At 43.6% G+C, this 1,751-nt stretch overlaps 1 annotated feature.

Moving 5' to 3' along the window:
• Window positions 1-90: an enhancer, noted in NCBI's record as "active region_15352". NCBI's record gives its function as "activates an Ori minimal core promoter by ATAC-STARR-seq in GM12878 lymphoblastoid cells {active_cell/tissue: GM12878}" and the evidence as "EXISTENCE:reporter gene assay evidence [ECO:0000049][PMID:35858748]".

The following is a 1,751-nucleotide window of genomic DNA, read 5'->3' on the forward strand; positions in this document are numbered from 1 at the left end:
CTCATGGTCTCTCATGCAGTTGCAGTCAGGTGGCAGCTGGAGCTGAAATGGGCCTGGAGCAGCTGGGGGCTGATTGGGGATTTCTGCGCTTGCAGTCTCAGGAGGAGTCATACTACTTACAAAGGGACTCTGGTCTCCAGCACAAGTATTCATGCAAAGTCGGAAGTTTCATCACCTTTTCTGACCTAGCCTCTGAAGTCACGAAGTATCACTTCCACAGTATTCTACTGGTAACAAGAAAGCCGCTAGCCCATCCACATTCAAGAAGGGAATCAGACTCCATCTCTTGATGGGGTGAGGCAAGGTTCTAGACGAATTATGTGGCATAAAAGATACTGTTGCCATCATCTTTGGAAAACAATCTGCTACAGTCTACCTTGTGGCCACAGTTCACATCCTTTCCCATGCAAGATTGTTCATCCCCTCCCAAGAAACCACAAAAGTCTCATACCATTACGACTTCAGGGTCAGGCTTGAGGCCCAAGATCTCATCATATAAAGCTCCTCAGATGTGGTTCTTCAATTATAGCACACTGAGTCACATTCTTCATGATCCAAAGGCTTGTGAAAGAGAGAGAGAATTATCTCCTCTCTTCCCTTCCACATGCAATATGCAATGGTGGTACAGGCTTAGAATAACCGCAATAGACACACTATCCAAAAACGGGGAAAGGGAAAGCACATGGCAATCTCTGGTCTATGGCAGTTCTGAAATTCCAGCCAGGTACACCCTGTAAGGTCCTTGACTAGGGTTTGGTCCTACTCTCTGGGGTTTTTTCTCCATGATTCTTCGCTCTGCTTTCTGTGTTTGTTTCTACCCTCTGGGCCATCCTTTCTTTTTCATTAAAAAAAAAAAAAATTGTGTTTACAGCTGAGTAGTTTTCTCAGTCTACTGCCTGCCTATACAATTCCAGGAGTAGAAAGACTCTTCATTTTGCACTGTCTCTTTGTCTTTCGGTCTAAGCTGACATTCTTTTAAAAACCTTATGGGTTTCTCAAGTGTCAGTTTATGAAATCCACTCCATTAGCAGAGGCTCATTGTGAGAACACCCCTAATAATCAGAGAAGCCCTACTGTTTAATGGAGGGAACCTGAAAGGCACATCTTTAGAAGGCAGACTGCTGCCTGTCTGAAAAGGTCTAAAAATACTGCCTTACATCTTTCTGAGGTCCTCACAGAGGATCTTACAGTCCCATCCTGGATTGGACTTTTGCACTGAAGCCATTTTGTATTTGAAAATCAGTTTTCCCCTTGAAGAGAGTCTGGGAATGAGAAATAGTCTCACCTCCTTTATATGCAATTGCTTTTCTTCATTCATCTCTCTTCTCACATTGTGTCACAGGCAGCAAAGAGCAGCCAAGGGGTCCTTTTCATACTGTGTCTAGACATCTGCTTGGCTAGATCACCTTACTTATTGGGTACATCTCCTATTTTCCATGTTACCATGGCATCAGTATTGCCAAACACCTTTTCTCCCACTCTCAATTCCTTCAGCTCTCCCCAAAAATATCCTTGAGACTTCAGGCCTCTGCTAACAGCTTCTGCAAGGCCCTTTAGATTCATGCACAGTCTCGAGGCCCTTCCACCGAGTGCCACATAGCTTATTTTTATTTTGGTACTTATACTTCCAGATACCAGTTACTATCACTGTATAACAAATCACTACAAAGTTTAGTGACCTAAAATGATGACTGAATTATCTCTGAGTTTTTGTGGGCCATGAATTCTCAAATGATTCACTTGGGCAGCCT

Source organism: Homo sapiens, chromosome 2 (assembly GCF_000001405.40).
Source record: "Homo sapiens chromosome 2, GRCh38.p14 Primary Assembly".
NCBI lineage: Eukaryota > Metazoa > Chordata > Mammalia > Primates > Hominidae > Homo > Homo sapiens.